The sequence below is a fragment of the Homo sapiens genome, chromosome 11 (assembly GCF_000001405.40).
Source record: "Homo sapiens chromosome 11, GRCh38.p14 Primary Assembly".
In the NCBI taxonomy this organism is placed as follows: Eukaryota; Metazoa; Chordata; class Mammalia; order Primates; family Hominidae; genus Homo; species Homo sapiens.
In genome coordinates, this window is record NC_000011.10 from 132112125 (window position 1) to 132136053 (window position 23929).

The window sequence follows — 23929 nt, forward strand, 5'->3', positions numbered from 1 at the left end:
CATAGCCTTCTTTATGTGGTGCATTCTAGTTCGGATTGGTGTGTGACCCAGGCTAAGACAGTGTTATGCAGATTGGAGCATCTTAAACAGACCACAATTGAATCAGTCTTGCCACCATTTGTCCTGTCCACTATAAGGCATTGAATGGTAAATGAAAGAAACTAGTGTCTTTTATTCAGCCTAGTTCTCTTCTTGCACACATGTTTCACAGAAGGGTACAGCTCAACTCTTAGGGGAAAAATTTCTAAGGAAGAAAGAAAAAAATGAAGAAAGACATTTTCAGAAACCATTCCCTTAGTAAATAATGAGAAGTCTTAGAGAATCTCTTGTGTTTCTCTGATTTGATAGAGAATGATGTTTCAGCTTTGGTATGGGAATGACTGGTGGAGTCAACAGCAAGAAAACGAGACTCCCAGTGGGAGGGTGTGTACTGCCAAGTACTATGTAGGCAACACTGAATGCAGCCAAGAGGCGGCCTTCCACTAGAGAAGGCATCCCGCTCTCTAATCATGACGTCCCCCCGGGCTCTCAGAGGGCAAAACTTGGACCGAATGCTGTTTTGGTCTAACACACATTTTCTGGGACTGCACACTTACACACACACACACACACACACACACACACACACACACACATTACATGGCAAGTCTTCTGGATTAGCAGGAGAGGCTGCTGATCAAATGCACCCCTGGGCTTCTATTCAGATTAGCTTTGAATGAAAACAACACCAACTCTGTTTTCTTATTTTAAAGATCACAGAGATAATCTTCCTTGGTCACAGTTGGGGAAACAGCCAGAGGGGGTCTTGTTACCTCCAGAAAAGCCGTGGAAGATATCTGAATTCCTGCTGGGCCTATTGGACCATCTTTTATGTTTTTAGACAGAAAGAATCTACCCCAGTGAGATTCTGAAAGCAGCTCCTCCCAGTCATCCTCTCCTAGGTATTGTTTATAGCTGGGCCCGTCCCTCAAAGTGTTTATTTTTCCGTACATGCATACATCATGCACACTACCTGATTGCTTTGATCAGGTTAAGGATGGGAGCAGGCTCTACTTGCGAGTCTTGTGGCACTTCCATGCAGCCCGTGCCCAGTCTCAGCGAGGCACTTCTCCTGGGTGGTTGGTAAGATATTCAACTAGAGACTTGCTTCTTAAATAATGTTGGAATCATATCCACGGTTGTAATGAACGCCTCTGTGATTTGCATTTAAATAGTATTTTCATCCAGAGATCACAAAGAGGAAAGCTATCTTAACATCCTGACTCTAATTCTCTGTATCTGAAAGCCAGTCTGTGTGCACCACGTACACATTTTCCCTCTAGGTCTCTTTCAGATCTGTGTACCCTACTGATCAAAACAAGCGTTTGCTTGCATTAGGATGGAAGACCCCGACAGCTCTGGCATGCACTGGATTCTCTCGCCGCACCCGCTTCATCAACCTGGATCCCCATGAGCTCTGATTGAAATGCCTCCACCACTGGCTGGGATGTGAGAGGCACTCCCAGATGGTGTGCTCAGTGCCAGGCAGTTAACACAATCATTTCTTGGGTTGTCAATGAAGCCAATTGGATCTGGAAATGATTGAGAGGCAGTAAATATAGACCCCCAAAGTCACCTTAGCAGTCTCTTTCCAGAGTACAGTTGTGCTTCGAAGGACTCCATGCAATCCTAAGGCTCACTTTCCAAGCCCTGGGAGGACTAGAGAGACAAAGGGCTGGCTGGGCTCAGAGACAGGAAAGGGCACAGAAGTCAACATCAGGCCCTAGCTTTCAGCCCCACTGATGGCTGCTCCATGCTGATTCCTCAGTTTACCCATGCTGCGGCTCTTTCCACCTGACTCCAGGCTTTTTGTTTCTTTTCATGTCATTCTTCATCATCTTGTGGAAGGATGTTTTTTCATATTGTACAGTTGAACTTATTTCATCATCAACAAATTTTTCTCTTTCCCATGGATTCTTTAAAAGGCGTCTTTTGAAGATTTATTTCTATTCGGATGCAAGCTTTTGTTTAAAAAAATAAAAGAGATGTAAATATGGAATGTTATTGAAAAGATCTTATCTTGCTTTTGACATGACATCTAAAAATGTGTTTAAAATAAAGAGCAAGTGTTGTTCAAGGCATGTATCAAGGCAGTTGGCTTCCTGCAGTGAGAGCTGGGTAGTACTTCGAACACTTTTCTGCCCCTATGAAAGCCTCTCACAGGTTAGGCCCCTGCGACCCAGTGTCCTCCTCCTTAAATGTCCCTTTCTGATCAGCCACGAGAGGGCAATGCAGGGCACTTGGTTGGCTGCCTTGGTTGGATTGCAGTTGGCAAGTTACTTTCAGTGAGGGAAGCTACTCAGACTATGACAGTAATTATATCAGTCTCATAAAAACCCTGCTCTCCCCAACTTGCTGCTGCCCTTTTTCCTTTGCTGCCTGCCTTCCTTCCTTTCCCATACCCCTGGCCATTGGCTTTGTATTTGCAGATAACTCACTCATGATCCTATAAGGCAGAGAAGAGTATGTGAAATTAATGTTTGCATTTTAAACTCCGAACTAGAATAATAGGTTGTTTCTAGGGGGAAGGATCTTGGAGATCATCAAGTTTAGCCTCTTTAAGATGAGGAAACCTAAATTGGGAAAGGTGGCCTGACTGGTTCCAGGTCACACAGTATCACGGGTAGGCTCCAGGGGCATAGACATTCTACAAATGCCTACATTTTCTTTATCCAGTCATCTGTTGTTGGACAGTTAGGTTGCTTCCATATCTTAGCTATTGTGACTAATGCTGCAGTGAACATGGGAGTGAGGACAATCCTTTGGGATAGTGATTTCATTTTCTTTGGATATATACCCACAAGTGGGATTGCTAGATCCCATGGTAACATTTTCGGCAACATGGATGAATGGGGAGGGCTTCAGGCTAAGTGAAATAAGTCAGACGTAGAAAGACAAACACTGCATGATCTCACTTATATGTTGATCTAGAAAAATCCAACTCATAAAAGCAGAGTAGACTAGTGGTTGCCTAGGGTGGGTGGAGTGGGAGAGAATGGGGAGATGCTGGTGAACGGGTACAAAGTTTCAGTTACGTAGGGTAATTCTGGAGATCTAACGAACAGCTTGGTGACTGCAGTTAACAGTACTGGATAGTATACTTGAAGTATATTGAGAGTGGATCTTAAGTATCCTCACCACAAAGGAAAGAAAAGAAAAAGAAAATGGTGAGGAGGCGAGGTGATAGACATGTTAATTAGCCTGGTTGCAGTGATCATTTCACAATGTATATGAATGGGAAAACATGAGATTGCACAACTTAAATATATACAAGTTTTATTTGTCAATTATTCCCCAAGAAAGCTGAAGAAAAGAAATACAATAAGATTAGGGCCGAAAACAAAGGAAAGGTAGACATAGGTAACATTTTCCTGTCAGGAACACACAAACTTCCAGAGGAATTTGGGAAAGAGGAGATGACTCTGTGGGAGGAGGCTCAGCCGTAGTCTGGATGGTGATGCTCTGTTCTACGCACAGTAGCCTCGGTATTCAGCCAGGGACCCAGGAGCTATTGAATAAGCCATGACTCAGTGTTTCTGTGACCACTTGCCCTTGTCTTTCTAATGTTTGCTTAATTTACAAAATGATGATGTTGCGTTCCTCTCCCTTCATTGATTATCACTCAAACCTTGTAGGAGCCTTTACCTGCAAATCATTCACACACTATGTGGCAAGGGCTGGTGAGCCCTGCTCTTTCATCAGCTCTCAACCTGGGAAGATCCTTTCTCTATTGGGGCAAATAAGCAAAACAACCTAAAAATGCCTTTACACAGGCTCATCCTCCTCCTTGTAATGCTCTTTGCCCCATTCATCCATTGGTTGACTGCTATAGCTTCTTCTAAACTCAGCTCAGGTGTGGCCTTCTCTGCGTCTCTCTGAGCATTTCTCCTTTCTCCCAGTTCCCTGGATTAGGCACCGTATCAGTCAGAAACCACTCTAGGTATAACAGTAGTTGGACTTGGTTGCACATGTGATGCAAGGGCTGAGAAGCCTACCAGGAGAGGGTGAGGCAACCAAGGGAGTAAACAATGGTGGACTTGACTACCCTATTCCCACTTCCACACACTCCATAGGGCTGGAGGGACACAGGGTGAGAAACTGCTTTTAAGTAGGGGCCAGGCCAATCCAGCAAGTGCTAGGACCATGGAGGTAGGGGCTGGAGCCACTGGGAGACACTGCCCATAGATAGTACCCAAACAGAAGTGGGGGGTGATACTTTCTCCTACTCTTCCATTGACCAAGACAGTGCTGAAGCCAGAGGGAGAGGAAGCCTGGGAATTATAGGGAATGCAGTTTCTGGATACAGAGCAAGGCAGAGAATGTTGGGAAATGAAGGGGACAGATACATGAGTGCCCGCACCTCTTCTCTGGACTCTTACTGCATCTTGTACTTAACCACCCTCATAGTAGTAACTATAGGGTGTCCTTAACATCATTCAGAGCAGGAGTGTTCCTTCTACCTCAAGGACCTAGCATAGTGCCCAGCACCAGGAGATATGGAAGGAAGGCATGCATAGGTTTGGGAAATTGTGATATGCCATGGAAATGCAAGTCATGATTATTAAGATCCAGCCAAAAGCGTGAGCTCTGCTGAGGATGACAGTTATAGACCTTTCTTCACCACATCTAACAGATGGCTCAGCCCCTTTCCGTGATGCTATCCTCATTTGCAGACTTGAAAACTAGTGTAGTTAATTAAAATAATATGAGTGAATGAAATATAGGTGTAGGGAAGAAAGAACAATTCTGCAAGGAGCCCAGGTCGAAGAAAAGTAAGGGGGAAACTATCCATCGAGGACAACACAGAGCTTCTTATGCTAATATTTTCTCAAGAGGTGAGACTATTTCCTGGCATCATTTGATCAAGGCAGACTCTCATCAGCCCCCAAAGTCATAGAAGTCCAAAGTTCCAGAATGACTCACATTCATTTCTAATTCTGCATTGGAAAATTTCTATTAGAAATCGTGAGTGTTCATTTAAAATGATTGTTTTTTTGTATTGCAACTGCTTTCTACCAGTCTAGTTAACCCTCTAGCAATGCAAATGTTGTTCATTCTTGCTACACGAAGACAAAGAGAGTGTTTGCCAATGTCTCCATAAGGGAAGGGAGCATTGCTTTTTGTTTCTTCTCTAGTTGATTGAGTTTGAAAAGGTTAGAAAAGTGTGTCAGTCTTCAGACTGGAAACTCTGAGCATGGGCCCCTCTCCCTAGTCTGTGCCCCACCTTGCTTGGCTTCCTGGCCATGTGATGGACAATACCAAGCTAAGCTTCTGCTGATGGAAGGAGTGACAAGTCTTTGCTCTCAGAAGTGAAGGGCTGTGATTTGACAAAGGGCTTTGAAATATTCTTATATATAAAGCATTAATTTCATTAATGTAATCAATGCTAAAGAAGCAGACCAACCGGGCCCTTTGATTCTTCCCAGGCTAAAATCTGTTGGGCTGATGTGATATACCAAAAATAAAATAGTACCCCTCTCCATACTTCCTGTTGTCCACACAGGAATTTATTGGTCTGCATTGGATTTACTCTCTGATGTATTTGTTTATTTGGGGTTTTGTTTGTGTAAGTTCCATGAGAACAGGGGCTTAGCACTTAAAAAATACTTTACTGCTCTGTTTCTGAATCTAAGAACAAGCACACAGTGGGCGCTGAATAAATGAGCATTGTACAGAATAAAAAGTACCCCAGACACCTGTCCTACTTCAGGGCAACACTGAGCTGTTAGTTATAGGTATCTGTCCAGTTCCTTGTCTGTGCTCATACCCTCAAGTACCTAATTCAAAACTGAAGAAGAACTTGGGCTGCCTTGGGACCAATGACTCCGCGCTAACTTGAATTAAATCAATCTTGTCACTCCCATCTGCCTGCCTCCATGTCATAGTAGATTAATTGCAACATAATATAAAACACATTTATATTGCATCTTCACAATAGTTTCAGGGTCCTTTACAGTCTTACAATCTAATTAAGCGGTAGCTTCAAACATGAATTTCTTTAGTATTTTAAAAGCGTAAGTTGAGCAGATAAGCTTTTTTTTTTAACTTCCCTATTCTAAAACTGAAAGACCAGCTGATTCCAAAGTCCCTGAGTATTATTAATTACCAGTGGCTGCAATCAATGCACAAGGCTTGTCTAGAAAGCTATTTCCTCCTTAGGTGAATGGTTGGGAATACAATATATGGTAATCAACAATTTGAGAGGGCTGAGCATGGATTGAGGCTGAGAAAAAGCTGGGACTTGGCATTGCATCTCTCCTGTGCAGATGGCAGAGAATAAATCTTGACTTTGCAAGGAAGATAAAGCAAGGTGGAGGTGTTTTCATCGCAATCGCACAGCACATAAATGGCAGAGAGAAGAAAGAAACCTCGGAACACGGGCTTCCTCTCCAAGGACAGCTACTGCTGTTTTGGAGAAAGCTTATCTGCTCTTATTTCACCATGAGAGAACTTCTGTCCTCAAGAGCCACGGAAAGGGTACCAGAAATAGATGAGAGCCCACCAACAAAAGGAATGATGAAGTGGCCCTTTAAATATAAATCTCTGGCACCCCCAAACTCTCTGGATGTTCCCTTACGTATTCAAATGAGATCGCAGCGTCAGATTGGTATGCATTAGGCTGGTTTCAATGAAAATTAACATGTAATTGCTTCAAATGAAGTAAGTGAGGAGGTAATCTGTTCTTAAATTGGATTCCCGGGATTTTGTGGTACCATAATGCAGCTGTGAAATGAAATATATTTTAAGGATGATGTCCTCAAGGGGGTGAAGGGGCTGGGAGGGGGAGGAGTAGAGATAGATAGTGTATAGTAGAAGCGCCTCTCCCCCCAGCCTGCCACATTCTTTCTCTGTCTCATTCTCCAGTTTCCAGCGGATGAAAAGATGTTCTCTCATCCATGGGTGGCCCCCATGCTCTGGGCCCTGGGACCTGGGCAGACAGTGCCCCACATTGGCATCAGCCGGTCTCCTCTACTTCTTACTGTGTCTGGAGCTTATTCCCAGAGGCTGTAGCTCCCCAGGGCTGTAGCTCTGTGGTCACCCTGGACACTGGATTTGTAAGGAGAAGGTGCTCGTCCTGCAAGTGGTGTCTACTGAGATCATCAATGGCTGAAGGGTGCACTGCTACAGTTGGGCAAATTTTCCAAAGCACACTGTGCAGTAAGAAAAACCATCACTCCTTGTACTCCTGGAATGGGGACATGTGCGCTTGACATCATGACTGACCCTTCTGATATCAAAGAGTGGAGCTGGGGTCGCAGCAGCAGGAACAGCCAATTCCATTACCACCACCGGCCTCCACAGCCTGGGTTCAGCCAGACCAGGCACCCCTGCCAGCAGTGATGATATGGTCTGTGAAGTCTGAAGATGAGCCTGGGAATAATTAACCTTCTTACCGTTCAATCAGGACGGGAAGCAGCTGGGTGAGGAGTCAGTGCAGGTTAATGCATTAAATTGTTTGCCTTTGCCATCCTAGGCTGAAATGGGATTTTCAGTCACAATGGAAATAAGCTGGCAGTCTTCTGGTCCCGTGGCATCACGCCTCTCTGCCAAAGAGCCATATCTGATGGGCTTTGGGGACCTTCTGCACCAAGGCTACAGAAGGGCAGAGCTGTTAAATGAAATGCAATCACCTGGCAATGCACAGGCAGTGCTGGGTTAGGGTTCACACAGCAGAGCAGTGCCACTGGTCTAGACCGAGTCCCCATCAAGGGCTAGCATGAGAATGGCATGGCTGCCTTGCATCAGCTCCTGGGGAGATGCAGATTTATAACACGCTATATAAAGAGTATATGTTCTGGTGTAAAAAGCCCCCATCAGAGCTAGAGAGAAGGGAAATTGACAAATCTCAGAAGAATGCGATTCTGGGCATTCTCTATTGCACGCGAATCAGGACCCCCGTCTGAGCCCCCCGCTTGCCTTCCCTCCCAGTCACAGCTTGGTTCTACAGCTCGGCTGATGATTTTTTTTTTTTAGTTCTTGTCTTTGTTTCCTCCTGTTTATGTTGCTATTTTCTTTCTGCACATGTTGAGCAGCTCTGGCTTTAAAACTGATCAGAGCTCATGGCTCCTTCAAATGTAGACGTTGTATTGCTACAGTCTCTCAATATATGGGACCAAGATTTTTGAGAGAATGCCAGAATGTTTCTGCTCTTCCCAGGAGTTGGTAGACTTAGAAATTTGAAGAAGAGAAAAGGGAAAAGAATGAGAGTGAGGGGTGACAAAACTCAGTTTACCCGACTGAGTTTAGGTCTCCCTAAAAACAGTGGCCTGAGACACTTTAGACCCAGCTAATGGCTTTTATTTCCTCCTCTAAGGTTGCAAGAGACAGTGTCTTTGCTGTGGGCAAAAGAGGGACCAGACTATGACCAATGATTAAATTTTGAATCACTCCATATAAAGAATAGGACCTCTTTTGAAGACCAAATCTGTAAACCACATTGGATAAATCATCTATGTTGCTGGCTCCTTTCTTTCTTCATCTGGTAGTAGGCATAGAATAGTATTTGCCTCCCTGCTTAGGGTTCTGCAAGGATTAGTAGGCGTTAATATCCACAGGAGTCCCCAGAGAGAGATATGCCAATAGCAAGAAAAGAGAGCTTAGCGTCCTTTTCTAGATTCTCCGTGGATGTGGAATCTACTGTACAGTTTATTTGTCGTCTGAACCCCAAGGTGCCTCTTGGTAGAGTATGCATAGGCTGCTGCAAGCTTAGCTCTGCTGGAAGAGGTGGGATGGAATGTATTTTGTGGGGAGTGCGTGTGTGTGTATGTTTGAGAGAGAGAGAGCACGTACACTCGTGATTTTTCCATGATCTAATATCTTGAATTAATCATTGTAATGCCTTTTTCTGCTATCAAAATATGTCCAGTGGTCACCTTGATATGCTCATCTGGTTTAACTCTCCTCAAAGTTTGCAGTGTTCACAGGAGAAAAGTAGAAGGGGCCAGCGGTTTCATTCCCATTTTAGAGATGGGGAGGGTTTCACCGCAGGAGCCTGAGGATATGCAATTCATCTTAATCACTAAAGTTGTCTCAGGCAATGACCTCTATAAGCCCTTCTTCCCTGGACCTCATTTGCTTTGAATATGAAATCAGGGTCAGGGTGTTAATGTCCTACTCTTAAAATGCAAACTAACGTCAAGGTCTAAGTATAAAAAGTAAAATATAAAACAAAATGCATAAAGTTGTACCGACTGTAGATACCACAGTATAACAGAAAATACTGAAAAAAAATATGAATCTCGTATAAGACTCCTGGGGTCAACAGAGGCGTGATGAAATGCAGGAGATGAGGGACAAATGGAAAATGCCCCAGCTCCATTTATTTAAGTAAAAAGACTATGAAGTACAGAAAATATGAGTGAAAAGCTGGTTCATTATAGGATCCTGTTCCCAGCTCTATTCTTGCCAATCTCCCTTTGACCTAAGAAATCCTCTCCTGTTTCTCTCTTAAATTCTACCTCAGAACCTTTAATTCTCATTTTATTTTCCTTTCCCATGAGTCATTTGTGTCCTCACACAGCTCTGTGTCCCTCGATTCCAATGGGCAGACCCACCCCTCTGTTCCTCCCCCCTCTCTCGAACCAGCCTAGACTATTTTGCCAATAGTTTTCATGCATAATAACTTAAGTGCATCACTTTTCTACAAACATGTTATCATTAGAGTTCAATTCTTCTGCTCCTAGCCTTTGTGCCTGGTAAATATACTTCTTTGACGAGTGTTTTGGAAGATGGCTCCATTTTATGCATGTGCATTAGTGCCAATTGCACAAAGCAGAAACACAAATTACCTGTATTCTGCAGACAGATCTAATCACCTAGACACCATGGGCTGGCATTCATTGCAGCCTCCACCTCTATGCATGAAACTGAAAGGGGAGCACCTAAACTGCCTATTAATTTGAAATGTAGGCAAAGTGCTATAGGCGCTGAATTGCGTGTTTAGGAAAGCTGTAGCAAGCCATTGTGCTAGGAGCCGTGCACTCGGTGTGGGCCTTTGCTCCGAATAGACAGGGCTTCTCTTTGGGAAGATGTAGGGCTGGGGCGCTGGGACCCTGCCAAAGTGATCTCTGCCTGAGACTGGAAGAGAAATGAGATAAATAAACAAGGGAGGCCAAAGTGGGGTGTGCCCCCTGGATAGGACACTTGGAGGGGTAGACGTGGATTTTCCCCACTATGGTGTTCTGTAAGATTCTTTTCCAACTGGTTTTATTTCAACAACTCTGTAGTCAGCAAATCGGCCTCCCCTGGGGCTGTTAAAGTCAAATCCAGGAGGTTTTCATAGGAATGAATACTTGTAACCTAAACTGGGGCTGCGCCTACTGTCAGAGTTCGTGAGTTTTTTAAGGATGCCTGAAGATGTGCCTCAACTACCTGGCGGGGAGGAAAAGAAGTCCCCTCTGTAAATGAGCTGACACTTGTCTGATAAAAGTGGTGCCTTTGGTCTGATCATCTGAGGACAAATAAGCAGCAGTGCCACCTCATAAAGGGAAGGGGTACCTCAGAGCCCCAGGGGTGTCCTGAGCAAAGGGAGCACTTTCCACACCAGCTGTATTTGGGAAATCTCTCAGCCAGGGACTCACCCCTTTCTCCCAAATCTCCTGAGCTCCTTAGTTGGCGTTTCTTTAAAGATACTTAAGTTTGCCCTGTTCAGAATTTTTCTGGGTTTGTAGCTTGTCACAGTGGTGCCCAGAATTAGATTCCTGTTGCCTTGTCTCACACACACTCACACACACTCACACACACAGACTCACTCATTCATCTAATTGGAAACAAAAAGAGCAAGGGAGATGGAAAACATGGACTCTAGTTGTTCTCCTTCCTCGCCACGTTGAATGTATTTCCTCATGCTCCCCCTGGCTGGCCTCCTCCTGGCACACTTTTCCTATCTTCTCTTCTGTGCATCTCCCCGTCAGCCTTGCTTCTCTGCATCTCACTCCCCCTTTGCTTCTCTCTCTTTTCTCTCATCTGCAATGAGGCTGCTCAACTGCCAGAGGGTCAGAACTGTGAGGGATCAGCATGAGGGCCACATTGACAAGGAAAGCTGTCATCAAATTTTACAGCTTCATGTAAAATGCACTGTCCATGGCAAGGACAGAGAAGGGACTGGAAAGGCACAGGGGGCAGTGTGGGGAGAAGGGGTAGTTAGAAGAGAGGCTCTCTCGTAGGTGAAGGGGGAGGTAAACCTACGTGCTTTCTACAGAAAGGTATTCATGGAGGCAAATCTGCCATCTTTTCTAAACACAACCATGTCTCTGGAAGCCTCACTAGGAGACCAACAATTAATAACAGTGTCAGTTATGGCATGTCTGTGTGGTCCATTGCATAGAACGACAGAGGAAGCTGATCCAAGCTTTGAGTACCAGGAAGCCAAGGGTAGCAATGTGGATGGGCCTATGGCCGTTCTGTTTTCGGCGAGAGCTAGGGAAATCCCCTGCCACTGGTCCTTCCCATACACAATGCTATATGCGCATTTGATGAGCCAGCCAACAGGTGCCTGAGTACCTGCCGTGAGACCAGCTGGCAATAGCTCCTCTGAGGCACAGCAGAATGGACCGTGTGCTAAAGGCATCAACAGCCTGGGCAGGCAAACAGGACCAGCCCAGGAGAGTCCATTAGAGAACCACGCATGTGCCGGTTACTGACCAAGAGTTAGGTTCCTACGTGTGCACAGCCTTCCCCCAGATTCCATTCCTTAGGACTCTGCACCCATCCCATCCCACTTTCTCAGGACAGAAACCACGAGGCAGAGTTGTACCTTGCCTTAGAGTGTCCGTCTCCTGGAGACCGTCAGTAGGATCCAGTGCCTGCTTTGTAATTTAGTAGCTTTGTGACCCGAGGCAATTTATTAAGTTTCAGTTCCCTTGCAGGTAAAGTGGAGATATTTTTGTTTACTACCACACAGAGTGGCCGTGTGGCTCACATAACATGATCTGAGTAAAGTGCTTTGCATAGTGCCTGGCACACTCCAGTGATCAATAAACGTTAGTCAGGGTCATTATTGTGCTATGCCCCTTCCTTTCTGCTATTGCCCCTCCCATCCCCGGATCTTCGATCGGGCCATGGGTTCTACTTCCCGGTGTCTCCTGTCTCCATCCCTTCCTGTCCAGCCCCTGGGGCCCTGCCCTCCCTGAGATCTCAGCAGCCGTGGCTGGGCTGGCTTTTGGTGGTTTTGTGAGTGCTCTCAGTCTGCAGGGAGAGACAGGCTCCAAAACACAGGTCCCAGCACAGTGCCGCCCTGTTGGAAGCTCTTGGCACCTGCGCCTTAGATTCCTTAACATAACTTAAAATGCCCTTCACGAAAGTACTTCTCTTCACCTGTCCAGGTTTGTTGCCCATCTGCCTCCCCATTTCTACCCAAATCCTACTCAGCAGCTGCTCACAATAATGATTCTCAGTTTTGCACATCAGAAAAAGTTGTGGAAATTGTTCTGAATATTTTTTGTGTACGTGTGTGTGTGTGCGCGCGCACGCGCAGGGCGGGGTTGCTTGGGTAATTTATAAAGTACAGGCATTTATATAAAGCTCCACAATGGCTGAGTGTGGTGTCTCATGCATGTAATTCCAGCATTTTGGGAGGCCAAGTGAGGAGGATTGCCTGAGTCCAGGAGATTGAAATTGTCAGCCTCAGCAACATAACAAGACCCTGTCTCTACAAAAACAAAAAAACAACAACATAAAGAAAAATAGCTGCTCCTGGTGGTCCTAGCTTCTGTACTCCTAGGTACTGTAGCTAGCGCCAGTTGTCTAAGCTACTCTGGAGGCTGGTTGGAGGCTGCAGGGGTGATGATTGTGCCACTGCACTTCAGCCTGGGTGCCAGCATGACATCCATCTCCAAATGAATAAGTAAAGCAAGTTCTACAGGTGGGCCTGATTTGCATCTTGAGTTCTAGAGCACAACCTTCCCAGACACACCCTGCCTTCCTCACACTGCCCGCATATCTGTCTACACTCAGTCCCAGCAAACGCAAACGGATGGGCTCACAGTGGGGATGCAAACAAAGATGAGGCGACTGAGTGAGTGAATCAGGAAAGGATGTTTTCATTTTATTGAGTGAATTAGACTAAGTCAAACCCTCCCTTAGAGTGTAAAGTAGAAGATAAATAATGTACTGGTGTGTGTTTGTGTGTGTGTGTGTGTGTGGTGTGGTATGTGGTATATGTGGTGTGTGGTGTGGTATGTGATTGTGTAGTGTGTAGTGTATGATGTGTGTGTGGTGGTGTATGTGGTATGTGGTATGTAGTGTGTGCTATGTGATGTATGTGGTGTGTGGTGAGGTATGAGTGTGTATGTGGTGTGTAGTGTGTGGTGTGTGATGTGTCTGTGATGCGTGTGTGGTGTGGTGGTGTATGTGGTGTGTGTGGTGTGTAGTGTGTGCTATGTGATGTATGTGGTGTGTGGTGGGGTATGAATGTGTATGTGGTGTGTAGTGTGTGGTGTGTGATGTGTGTGGTGTTTGGTGGTGTATGTGGTATGTGTGTCATGTGGTATGTGGTGTGTGTGTCATGTGTAGTGCGTAGTGGGGTATGTGGTGTGAGTGTGGTGTGTAGTGTGTGGTGTGTGATGTGTGTGTGGTATGTGGTGCGTGTATTTTGTGTGTTGTGGTATATGGTGCATGTGTGTTGTGTGTTGTGTATCTGTGTGTGCTGTGTGGTATGTGTGGTGTGTGGTGTGTGTGTGGCTGGGTGTATGCTGTGGTATGTGGTGTGTGCTGTGGTATGTGGTGTGTGTGCGTGCATGTGTTTGTATGTGTGTGTGTGTATATTGTGTGTGTGTAAGAGAGATCAACAGGGGTCCCAGGCAAGGGGGATGAGTGGGCTGTTGGCAGAGGAAGAAGCGCAGCCCAGCAAAGGTGGAGCCTCGCTTTCCATAAGCAGCTTGGGTCCCCAGGCGCCCCTGCGCGATGTGGGAGTGGGAGAGACTGAGTGGGCGCAAGGGTCTCGCCACCTGGGTGTGTGAACGAGTGCAGAAATACAAACAGCTCCGAGCCAGAGGATCCTTAGTCCATCAATTCTTTGCAGAAGAAAAGTCTGATGGATTGAAATTGTCACACAAGAACGCTGTGAACAATAGCAGGGAGATACTGTTTCTCTCCAGCCCAGCTGTGGTGAGTTACTTCTTAATGGCAAGGTAGGGAGACACACACCACGGACAATGCTGAGGGTGACAGGAGATGCCTGTGCCAGTTATTTATTATGGGAGAGGAAGGTGTTCCTTCTACTTTTTTTCCTTCCATCACCCCCTTCTTTTCTGTGATAAGTGGGGGCTGAGCTGTTTGTGTTATGCAGAGGCTGACAAAATGAGGCGATCAGATTGGAAATCAAAGCTCTCACCATGGCTGGCAGTGTGCGGGGACTTCGCAGCCACCTCCCATGGCGGGGGCAGGAGGAGGGGGAGGAAGCAGCTGCTGTCATTTCTCCCCTAGCAGTTGTTTTTGGTTTTACTTTTATTTCTCCCAAGAGGAGAGGAGCTGGAGAGGGCAGCCAAACTAGCACAAGAAAGAAAAGGAGAAAGAGGGCAAGAATGGAAATGCGGAAGGAGAAAGAGCCCTACCAGGAGGCAAAGGGAGAGGGAAGCGAGAAGGAGGGAAGAAGCCTCCAGAACGTGCCTTTTTCCGATTTGTGCTGGCTGCGACCTTGCAGCCTGTTTCTCTGCCAGCTGCCCCTCCTTTGCTGTGAGAGGTGTTTTCTGTGACCCGCAAAGCGTGGTTTAATTTACAGGGTGAGTTGGAAATGATTCAAGCATCTGCTCCTTTCAAATGTTGGGAAACTGAGGCACAGCACATTAAGAACTATTTAACTTGCTTCTTTCGGGCCTTATTGTCAGTCTTTTTTCTTGAGAGTTCCAGAAACTATTTCCATCTCCAGCTTTCAGGATGAATAACTTATTCAGGCCTTTGCTTTTCTGGTGCGTTCTCCCAAAACTCCTCCTATTTCAAACTGCCCCCCAAAGTCCCTGAGCCTGAGTCTTATGGGTTGACTCTGCCCTCTGGTGGATCGAAAGGTGGTGAATGAGGCAGAAAAGGGAGCTCGTTCCAGAAAAACATACCTTGGCAGGCTTCCCAGGAAAGTCTTTGGTTAAAGCAACCCGAACCCAAAATGAATACAGCTCAATATGCTGTGATGTATTAATATCCTGATAAGCGAGTCAGAATGTGTTTCCAAATAGACCTATTACATAAGTGGCAATAAATACTAACCCATCTCTCACCTTGCTGCGGTGAGCGCATAGAGAGGGATCTGCAGTGTGGGATTCCAGGCAGTCTTGGCGATGCTGACCTTCTGACGGATGGGGAGGCCTGAGCCCTCTATAACACAGGTCCCCTGTGACATCCACATCACACAATCGTGCCCTTTGCCCACCTTTTTAATGACTTTCTATTTTGTTTTACAACCAGCAATCTGCTGCATGTGCTGGTCAACAGTATCTATCTTTTCTGCTGTGGCTTGCTGCCTCGGATGCTTTTATGGGCATTGATTCCCTCCACTGCTTCCCCAAAGAGGTTCTTTTCCTTGAGCCAGAGCGGCATTCCGGCGGATTACAGTGTCTGCCACTCTGCTCTCCGATTTATTGCCATCCTGGGCTTTAGTCTCCCTACATTCACAGCCAAGCCTCATTCATTTTGTTTTCTGGGGCGAGCAAATTGAAGAAGTTGCTATTAATAGGAGAAAGAGTGTCATGCCGGCAGACTTAGTAGTGTCTAACGTTATAGCCTGCAAGTCCCAGAGCCAAGCTCTTGTCTTAGATCCACCCTTCCCCATCCAAGGGACTGAACCAGGTGGGATGCTGGCCTGGGCATTGGCTCTCTGAAAGATTTACACTTTTCTGGCTTTTGTCGACAAAGGATATTCTCATATTTGGGCACTCTCATCCATATGTCCTCTCCTTTTCCCTGTGACCATCAGTTTACATTTGGCAGAAGGCTGTCTGGGGTTGTAGATGAAGTCTGAGGGCAGATGGCTGGGGACAGGACGCTGGAGAGGAGAAGCACATGGCAGTGGTATAGGATGGTTTGCTTCTCAGCTTTCCCAGACACTAAAGTATATGAATCCAATTAAAGTTGTTCTGTGAGTGTGTTTTTTTTTTTACATTGATAAACATGTTTGCTAATCATTTATCACAAATTAAATAGTAGAGCAATTTCTAAACAATGTCCTACAGATAATGAATGTCTTTTGAATATGCATACACAATGTTACATCTCAACTGTTGCTAGTCCTGTTTACTCTCTCAGCTGTAGAATTTAGAGGCTGCCTGGGGACTGTAGAGAGCAGGACATCAGATGTTGCCTCTCCAGGGACCATCCTCAGATCTTTGTGGACTGGCCCCAGGCTGTCCAGATGTATATCTCCTTCATGCAGAAACAGGAGCCTCAAAGAATCTTCCAGTGGGTTATAGTTGTGGGTGTAGGAGTTCACCCAACCAACTTAACTTGCCAGGTGATCACACAGGTACAAGAGGCTGATAAGGGGCTGGGCATGGTGGCTCACACCTGTAATCCCAGCACTTTGGGAGGCTGAGGCAGGTGGATCACGAGGTCAGGAGATCAAGACCATCCTGGCTAACACGGTGAAACCCCGTCTCTACTAAAAAAAAAATAATAAAAAATAAAAAAATAAAATAAAATTAGCCGAGTGCGGTGGCGGGCACCTGTAGTCCCCGCTACTCAGGAGGCTGAGGCAGGAGAATGGCATGAATCCGGGAGGCAGAGTTTGCAGTGAGCTGAGATTGCACCACTTCACTCCAGCCTGGGCGATAGAGCGAGACACCATCTCAAAAAAAAAAAAAAAAAAAAAAAAAAAAAAGAGGCTGGTAAGGTCAGAAATCACTATCGACAGTGTAGAAATTTTTCTTTGGGATGGGTTGGTGTCACAAGTCCCAGCAGGTTATTGAGTGAACAATTCTCTTTAGAAAGTGCCGCTGGAAAAGTGTAGTTTGCAAAAGATGTGTGTTTGTGTGTGTGTGTTGGTAGGGTGGATAGGGTGGGGTCTATTGGTCATATATTCTAGAAGAGGAATTTGGAGGTGGCTGTATAGGGACTTGGTATCCAAAACTGTTTGCATTTCTGGAAGAGCAATGTTGTATAGTGCATACAGCTGTGTACGTATTGTTACTATTGATGCTCTAAGTGATAGTTTAGAACCAACTTAGGGGATAGTTTTCCTGTGTCTCACACATATATTGATTCAGAGTCTCTGGCACTATCCTCAGTAAGGTAACAAAGGGAAGCAAACAGATCCCAGGAGCCCTGAGTTGAGGTCTTGCTGTTCCCAATCAGCCGATGTATCAGAACTCTGGGTAACTTGACCCAGTAGCTTAGGCCCTGCATTCCCATTCTGGCTTTGAAGACAGGAGAAATGTATTTTAAGACAGAATTCCTAAAGACAGACCTCAGGTGGGTTTTTCATGCCTACCTAGAAGTAAGGTTAGCTTCAGTTAATCTACAGCTTCCTGTGGGCTCTACCTCAAAGTCATGGAAGGGAAGACTTCTTAGGAAATAAAAACTGATTTTTGTCATTATTTTTCTTCAGTGCACACACAGAATATCTGTCCTCCAACACCAGTCATTTCAAAATGGGGCTCCTAGGACTGTATTAGAAAGACCAAGAAGAGCATACAGTACAGGAGGTACCAAATGGATACAGCCTCAACATTCTGAGCTTTGCCAGAAATGTCTGTCTGTCTTCTCCCACTGTTTCCTCAATTCTCTTCCCCTTTTTCATCTTCACCTACCTCCATTTTCTTGAGTTTTCTTGTGCAGTTTTGGTCAGGCTTTTTATTGAGAACAACCTCAACTCCTGCCAATGACTTTACAGCCTTCCTCTTTCTCTCTGGATGTTCTTAACAGGTTTGGATGAAGCTGAAATGTAAATGTATCTGATTCTTAATTAGAAGAATTCAATTCCAGAGTCTGTTAGGACTTTGGGAGTAGGAGATTTGTTTTCACAGTAAATATTCTCAGAAGGAGAAGGGAACCTAGTCTGATATTCCCAGAGGTGACCAGTAATAGGAAATCATCTTGACAGATGAAACCACTCGTATCTAGAAATCAGATGAGTAGCGGGATGAGGGAAAGACAGTGAAGCCTCGGAAGTGGGAGTTGGTTCAGCTTTGTTAGGGAGATGCAAGGAGATACCACACCAGTCAGAGAAAGTCATAAGATCAAGAGGTATGGAATGTGGCTCTCAAGTGGAAAAAAAAAGGAAGGTACCGCATTTTCCATTCTCTGCCTTGTTTTTTTAATTCCCGTGATAATTACAATGAGAGGAGCAATCATGTTGCTAATTTTACTTCATGCGTTTAAGTTCTAATTAATACTATCTGGTTCTTCTGCGTTCTGCTGAGGTGAAATACAGCATGCTCCTTTGCACTTACACCTTTCTTTCTCTCAAGAATTTGCATAGGAAGTGAAGGCATGTTTGCATGTATCGTATTTTAGTAATTGGCATCCCTGCCTTCACAGTTCTACACCACTTTCTAGTCTAATCTCCTGGACCTTTCCTCTCTCCATTCACCTTGGCAAAAGTGGAACAGCTAGGGGTTTCAAACAGCCCTGCCCCTCAGAGAATAGGGAAGTCTGATGGAGTTGCCGGCAGCAGACCTAAGCCGCCAGCAGGCTCTTCATGGATCCCCACAGAGCAAGATGGGAGATTTCTCACGGTGAGAACTGCACGGCTGAGGCCGCATAGACATTACCATTGTCCTGTACAGAAAAGGAAACCGAGGCCCAGGGTGATGAAGTGACTTGCCCACGATCACACATTTCATAGCCTCAGATCTGGGATTTGAGATGTGTCTCTGCCTCCAACTTTCTTATGATGATGCTGTGAGATATGAATTATATGAGAAAGGGCTTTGCATGCTGTCATGTGCAAGGAAAGTTTGAGCTATTATTTTTCTGGTTAATTAACAAAAACATTGTCATGAAATGTCTGCTGCATTCTCCGTTCTCATTTTGAAAGCTTTTGTGGAGCACAAAATGTTGCTTTGTGACTTCTAGTGGCATAGCTCACATGTGCTATAGATGCACGCGTGTTATGCTTCTGGCAGCCCGGTGTGAGTAACCATGGAAAACAGTTGGAGAGGTGCCAGTGTTGGGGCTGAGTGTGGGGCCAGCTATTGTCTCAGAGACACCTGGTTTAGGACAGATGCCTGCTGCAGTGTGCCTTCACTTCAAGCAACTGATATTTACTGACTGCCTGTGATAATGAACTAGGTACCATGGAAGGCACAATAGGTTGCAAGAGGATTATGGAAAGAAAGATAAAGAAAATACACAGGCCCTGCCTTCAGAATTGCCATATGGGCTGGCAAAGGTTATGATGGAACCCTACGAAAGTGCAGCCTTGTTGGGTCAGAGGGAGCCTTGTGAAGGAAGGGGTGTGTGGGCGAGTAAGTAGGGAGGGGTGCTGTAGACAGAGGGGCAGTGTGGGAAATGGGTTGGGGCATGGGAGAGCATGCCACACTAAGGAAGCTGCAGGATCCCAGACCTCAAGGTCCTGGCATGTTCTTCTGAACTCTTTGAGCTTCATCCTGAAGGCAGTGGGAACCACTGAAGGCTCTTGAACAAGTGATTCTCAAACAGATTTGTTAGAAAGGTCCCTGCGGCAAAAAGAGTGACTGGACTGAAGAGGGTTGCGTGTGGGACCAAAAGAGCAGGTGGAAGAGGCCCCCCGCTCCCACTGCCTGGTGTTCAGAAGATGGTCCATTGAAGCTTAGGAAATGATTTGAGCTTGTGGTTGGAGGTTCAAAATTAGAGAGAATGCATGCAGGGAAATAACTAGCTCTTCTACAGCCTGGCTAGAGTCCCTTCCTACAGAGACCAGTTAATAGAGAGCATCATCAAAGGCACCAAGAGTTTCCGTAAAGGACTTAGATAATTATTTGCCCAGTGTTGGTTGAAGGAAATTACTTTGGAATGAACCAGCTGATGCAGTTCAAGTGCCCGAGGATACATTCCTCTGCCTGACGTTTTATACCTGTGCGACCACTGCCCCGCCCCCATCTGCTCCCCCAATCCCCGTCAGGATCCTGCCTGCTCCTTCCACCAGGGTGGGAACTACAGCAGAGTGAAGGAAAACAGCCCTCTCCTAACGGCTTCCTTTGTTTGGTTCAGACTTGGTCATTGTACTTTGAGAGTTAAAATTGGGTCTATTTCTTTCTGTATCCGTCCGGTGTTTGTCATTCAATTGCCTGTGCAGGTTCTCTGCTTTATTTCATTTAAGTAGCTGTTATCTTCTTTGTATCATAAGCTCCTAAAATATAGAGTAAGGAATATGTTTTGTTCTGGAGAGTGAACACTGCATCTTCACAGGCATATGAGCTCAATAAATAAATGTGTAATGTTGAACATAGTGATGTAGCCATGTATTTGGTTACTTGGAAAATAATAGGGAAGGGAGGGAACGATAGCATCCGCACTCAGAAGGTTTGTAAACATTAACACCTCCATGCTCCTGCGGAGTCCTTGATACTCTTCCCCTCAATACTTACATGGACCCTCATTACAATAAGAACAGGGTGGGGTAGAGACCATTTTTCCCCATTGACATATATGAAAACTGAGTCACAGAAAGACTACGGACTCAGGCTTGTCGCAACACAATGGAAAAAGAGAGAAGCACCCCACTGGACTCCATGGAAATCAAGCTACTAGGCATGGTTGCTGCCTCTCTCAAATATGAACAAGCAAGCTGAGGTGATCGCAGGTAAAATATATGAATGCATGGCGGCTTCCAGATGGCAGAAATCTTGTTAAAATCTGAGTAACACCCAGTGCATTGTCAAGCTTTCAAAATGTTCATTGCAAAATCTTACAATCCACTCACCCCAGAAAAGACTATTACTAATTTTGGGTCAAAGAATCAGGAGATGCTCGCTGTCATCCAAAATCTTTCTTGAAGTAAGTAGCTAAGTAGCCTTAGGCTTATGAAAGAAAGAGCTGCACAGACTTAACCTCTGTAGGTTCCTTATTGATAAATTATCTCCCATGTCTCTCCCAGCACCATATTTATACTCATTTGTAAAGTTCTCAGCAGAAACTTCACTTCTACAAGCCCTTCCCTGACCCATTAGACTAGGCTGGGTTCCTCCACACACGTCTACTTTCTGCACAACACCCATAATTTCCTATCATAAGAAACAGCACACTTCTGCATTATAATCCTGTCTTTCTGTGCCTCTCTGCATGAGTCTGTCTTGTTTGCCTCTGCATTGAATTCCTTAAGAGCTTAACACAATACATGGCACATAGGAGGTGCTCAATGAACATTTGGCAAATAAATGGGCATATAATCCCATCCTAATGCACTTCAGTTCATCCACATCTTTGGAGATAACTGCCTGAAGTGAAGTTTAAGGGGTAAGTTAGAAGCACAGGTCGGGGGATGGCTGTGAGTTGAAAGGTTCCCCGGGGGACCTAAAGAATGGGCCACAGAGACCCCTGACACACAGCCCTCCCTGCCAGCCCTGTTTAGGTGGATTCCAGCACCTTAAGAGCATGTCTGTTTATATGTCTGATGGTGAGAACGAGGCCTAACGTATTTGGGAAAGGCAACTCCCAGGAAGAGGACGTTTCCATGCTTCTGTTTCTGGCAGTGATGGACTTCCCTGCCCCCATTATCTCTTCACCCTGGCTTACTTCTTTATTGCTTCCAAATATGATTTTTCTCCTGCCATTCGGCTCTGCTTATCTGCTTTGCTGCTGATGGGAGCATACTTCCCAGCCTGGCATTTGAGGGCAGCTACAGCTGACTCTAGTCTTTCTTCCTCGGTGTTCTCTCTCTGCTCTCATCAGACCAAACCTTTAAACATCTGCCCCAGAGCCACACCCAAATCTTTATTCTTTGTTTGTTTAATTAATTAATTAATTTTAAACAGTCTCACTCTGTAGCTGGGACTATAGGCACATGCCACCCTGCCCAGCCATTTTTTTTCTTTTTTTGTAAACAGGGTCTCACCATGTTGCCCTGGCTTGTCTTGAACTCCTAGGCTCCAGCCATCCTCCCACCTTAGCTTCTCAAAATGCTGGGATTACAGGCGTGAGCCACCGTGCCTGCCCCATACCCGTATCTTTGGATACCTTTTTCTTCCTAGGGGGAACACCTTCTCACCTCTTTTCTGTTTATTCAGCTGATCTTTTGTTTGTTTGGTTGGCTTTTATTTATTTATTTTTTTATTTCAGTAGGTTAGTGGGGAACAGATGGCATTTGGTTACGTGAATAAGTTCTTCAGTGGTAATTTCTGAGCTTTTGGTGCACCTTCACTCGAGCAGTGTACAGTGTACCCAAGGTGTTGTCTTTTATCCGTTGCCACCCCTGACCTTTTTCCCTGAGGCCCCAAAAAACAATGTATCATTCTTATGCCTTTGAGTCCTCATGGCTTGGCTCCTATATATGAGTCATATAGGAATATATATGACTCATATGACATTTGGTTTTTCATTCCCGAGTTACTTCACTTAGAATAATAGTCTCCAGTTCCATCCAGTTTGCTGCAATTGCCATTATTTTGTTCCTTTTTATGGCCGAGTAGTATTCCATGGTATATATATATATATATATATATATATATATATATATATATATATATATATATATCTCACATTTTCTTTATCTATTCATTGATTGACAGGCATTTGGGCTGGTTCCATATTTTTGTAATTACAGATTGTGCTGCTATATACATGCGTGTGCAAGTATCTTTTTCGTATTATATAATGACTTCTTTTCCTCCTGGTAGATACCTAGTAGTGAGTAGATCTACTTTTAGTTCTTTAAGGAATCTCCACACTGTTTTCCATAGTGGTTGTATTTTTATTATTTTATTATATCCTTTATTAGTTTACTGTCCACATGCTCCTGCCACCCACTGAACTCCCCAAATCCTCCTCCCCTCCCCACAGAATGTCCCTCGTTAGTACCTAAGCCTGGCTGGATTGTGTCCCCTCACCCCTGTGTCAGTGTCCCAGGAGACAGAAATGTTCTTGGCACTCCAAGGTCTCTTAGGCCAGGGCCAGAAGGGCCCCCACTCCCGGCTTCTGGCTGCAGGCTCTACCTTGCCCCGTGTCCTCTCTCCCAGGGGCAGGGCTCACCTGTGGTTGCCTGCTCCCAGTGCCTGACTACAGACCACCCTCCATCTTTCTAGCACCTTCCTTTCCTTGCAGCCTCCCAAATATCTCACACTCCCTCTCCAGAAGAGTTCCTTCTGATCACAAAGCATTTGTGAGATTTACACATAAGATTGCCTTTGTTCCAGTTCTCTAGAGGCAGATTCTGGGATACGGATTTGTGTGGTCATGACTTATTAGGGAAGTGGGCCTAGGAGAACAGGCAGAAGGTGTAAGGGAAGCCAGGCAGGACAGGGCAAGAAGCCAAGTGGAGGCTCGATTTTAGGCAAAGACCCACCAGGGTGACCAGGCCCTTTTACAACTCCCACACAGGCCACACAGGCTACTGCTAGGGGCCACCCTGGGGGACGCAAACCCTAGGCACTTGTGGCTGTCTGTGGAGGTGGGGGTGCAAACAGAGTCTCAGGCTGGGCTGTCAGAAGCAGAAGCACCCAGAACCCAGGGAGCACACAGAAATGATGGAAGGGGCCGAGGGGCCTGGGCTGAAGGCTGACTTCCTGCTTTGTCCTGCACAGGGAGAGAGAGACAGGGCAGTGGCTGTGCAAATGATGAGGCCCCCATCGAGGTGAGGGAGGGCTCTGGAATGACAACAGGCCCCAGCAAAGGTAGTGTCCTCCCACTGGGAGCTTTCCTCTTTCTGGGGATGCATCTTGTTCCCCAAGGTGCCACGTCACCTAGGTTAACTATCTGGAGAGATCCAGTTACCTTTTCTGCACTTAATTACTCACATTTTCTTGTTTTAGTGAGTGTTGTCTTTCCAGAC

The 23929-nt window shown here is 45.6% G+C and overlaps 1 protein-coding gene across 41 annotated transcripts in view, besides 3 other annotated features; it reads left to right on the forward strand.

Annotated features, from left to right (window-relative positions):
- Nucleotides 1-23929, forward strand: part of NTM (neurotrimin) — a 966208-nt gene that overhangs the window by 741510 nt on the left and 200769 nt on the right. The gene's annotated exons all lie outside the window — the stretch shown is intronic.
- Nucleotides 10870-11868: an enhancer, noted in NCBI's record as "OCT4-NANOG-H3K4me1 hESC enhancer chr11:131992888-131993886 (GRCh37/hg19 assembly coordinates)". NCBI's record gives its function as "activates a minimal SCP1, AML or CMV promoter by ChIP-STARR-seq in primed H9 embryonic stem cells {active_cell/tissue: H9 hESC(primed)}" and the evidence as "EXISTENCE:reporter gene assay evidence [ECO:0000049][PMID:30033119]".
- Nucleotides 14217-14266: an enhancer, noted in NCBI's record as "active region_5762". NCBI's record gives its function as "activates an Ori minimal core promoter by ATAC-STARR-seq in GM12878 lymphoblastoid cells {active_cell/tissue: GM12878}" and the evidence as "EXISTENCE:reporter gene assay evidence [ECO:0000049][PMID:35858748]".
- Nucleotides 14367-14416: an enhancer, noted in NCBI's record as "active region_5763". NCBI's record gives its function as "activates an Ori minimal core promoter by ATAC-STARR-seq in GM12878 lymphoblastoid cells {active_cell/tissue: GM12878}" and the evidence as "EXISTENCE:reporter gene assay evidence [ECO:0000049][PMID:35858748]".